This window comes from Homo sapiens, chromosome 2, assembly GCF_000001405.40.
Source record: "Homo sapiens chromosome 2, GRCh38.p14 Primary Assembly".
Taxonomy (NCBI): Eukaryota; Metazoa; Chordata; class Mammalia; order Primates; family Hominidae; genus Homo; species Homo sapiens.
In genome coordinates, this window is record NC_000002.12 from 231,851,505 (window position 1) to 231,853,344 (window position 1,840).

Genomic DNA, 1,840 nt, shown 5'->3' on the forward strand with positions numbered 1-1,840 from the left:
TAAGTTTCAAGCTTTAAGACCACAAGGTCCCATTTCTATGTTTATCCAAAAGAACTGTCTATGGCAGTGGTCCCCAAGATTTTTGCCACCAGGGACTGGGTTTCATGGAAAACAATTTTTCCACAGACGGGGTGGGAGGTGGTGATTTGGGATAAAACTATTCCACCAGATCATCAGGCATTAGATTCTCATAAGGAGCACACAACCTCACAGGCACAGTTTTACAATAGAGTTTGTACTCCTATGAGAGTGGAATGCACCACTGATCTGACAGCAAGTGGAGCTCTGGCAGTAATGCTCACTTACCCGCCACTCACCAGTTGTGCAGCCCAGTTTCTTTCTTTCTTTCTCTTTCTTTCTTTTCTTTTCTTTTCTTTTCTTTCTTTCTTTCTTTCTTTCTTTCTTTCTTTCTTTCTTTCTTTCTTTCTGTCTGTCTGTCTTTCTCTTTCTTTCTTTCTTTCTTTCTTTCTTTCTTTCTTTCTTTCTTTCTTTCTTTCTTTCTTTCTTTCTTTTTCCTTCCTTCCTTCCTTCCTTCCTTCCTTCCTTCCTTCCTTCCTTCCTCTTTCTCTTTCTCTTTCTTTTCTTTCTTTCCCTCCCTCCCTCCTTCTTTCTTTCTTTCTTTTTTTTTTTCCTGAGACAGAGTCTCGCTCTGTCACCCAGGCAGAAGTGCAGTGGCACAACCTTGGCTCACTGCAACCTCCGCCTCCTGGGTTCAAGCAATTCTCCTGCCTCAGCCTCCCAAGTAGCTGGGATTACAGGTGCCCGCCACCACGCCCGGCTAATTTTTTGTATTTTTAATAGAGACAGGGTTTCACCATGTTGGCCAGGCTGGTCTCCAGCTCCTGACCTCAGGTGATCCACCCTCCTCGGTCTTCCAAAGTGCTGGGATTACAGGCTTGAACCACCGCGCCCGGCCTAATACTGATTTCTAAGTACTATCCTGAAATGACCAGCAGAGGGCAGCAGTACATTAAAGTGCTGAAGGAATGACGCTGGACCCTTAGGCTTCATGGTATGTTCTGGGCAAAGGCAGAGCCTGGTCCCTGGGGTGTTGGCATCAATGGACTCAGGAGGAATTTAGAACACAGACAAGGTGGTTAATTTTCTCTCCAAATTGGAGTTATTTGTCTGAAAGTCTGTGGTGTGGACTAGGAATGAGAAGATGACTTGGGGCCAGGCACAGTGGCTCATGCCTATAATCCCAGCACTTTGGGAGGCCAAGGCGGACGGATCACCTGAGGTCAGGAGTTCGAGACCAGCCTGGCCAACATAGCAAAACCCATCTCTATTAAAAATATAAAAATTAGCTGGGCGTGGTGGTGTGCGTATGTAATCCCAGCTACTCAGGATGCTGAGGCAGGAGAATCACTTGAACCGGGGAGGCAGAGGTTACAGTGAGCCAAGATCATGCTACTGCACTCCAGCCTGGGCAACAGAGCAAGACTCCATCTCAAAAAAAAAAGAAAAAAAGACTTGGGAAAGTCAAGACTTGTGGTCCCAGTGCCATGGAGGAATTCTGACTGAGGGGAGACCTCCAAGAGTGCTTAGATAGAGGGCACCTCTCCAGTCCGTGCAGCACCACACGAGTCCCCGGCTGTTGTCAGAGCATGGTAAGTGTGTGTGTGTATGTGTGTGTGTGCGTATGTGCAAATGTCCACCCGCCAGAGCATGGTGAGAGTATGTGTGTGTGTGTGTGCACGCAAACGCCCACCCCCCAGAGCACGGTGAGAGTGTGTGTGTGCATGTACAAATGTCCACCCCGCCCTCCAGAAAAGCAGCTGAATCATCTTTCCCGTATGCCACCCTCTCTCTTGGAGCTGTCTGGTTTTCCATCTTATCG

The 1,840-nt window shown here is 47.7% G+C and overlaps 1 annotated feature.

Moving 5' to 3' along the window:
• Positions 936–1,025: a silencer, noted in NCBI's record as "silent region_12450". NCBI's record gives its function as "represses an Ori minimal core promoter by ATAC-STARR-seq in GM12878 lymphoblastoid cells {active_cell/tissue: GM12878}" and the evidence as "EXISTENCE:reporter gene assay evidence [ECO:0000049][PMID:35858748]".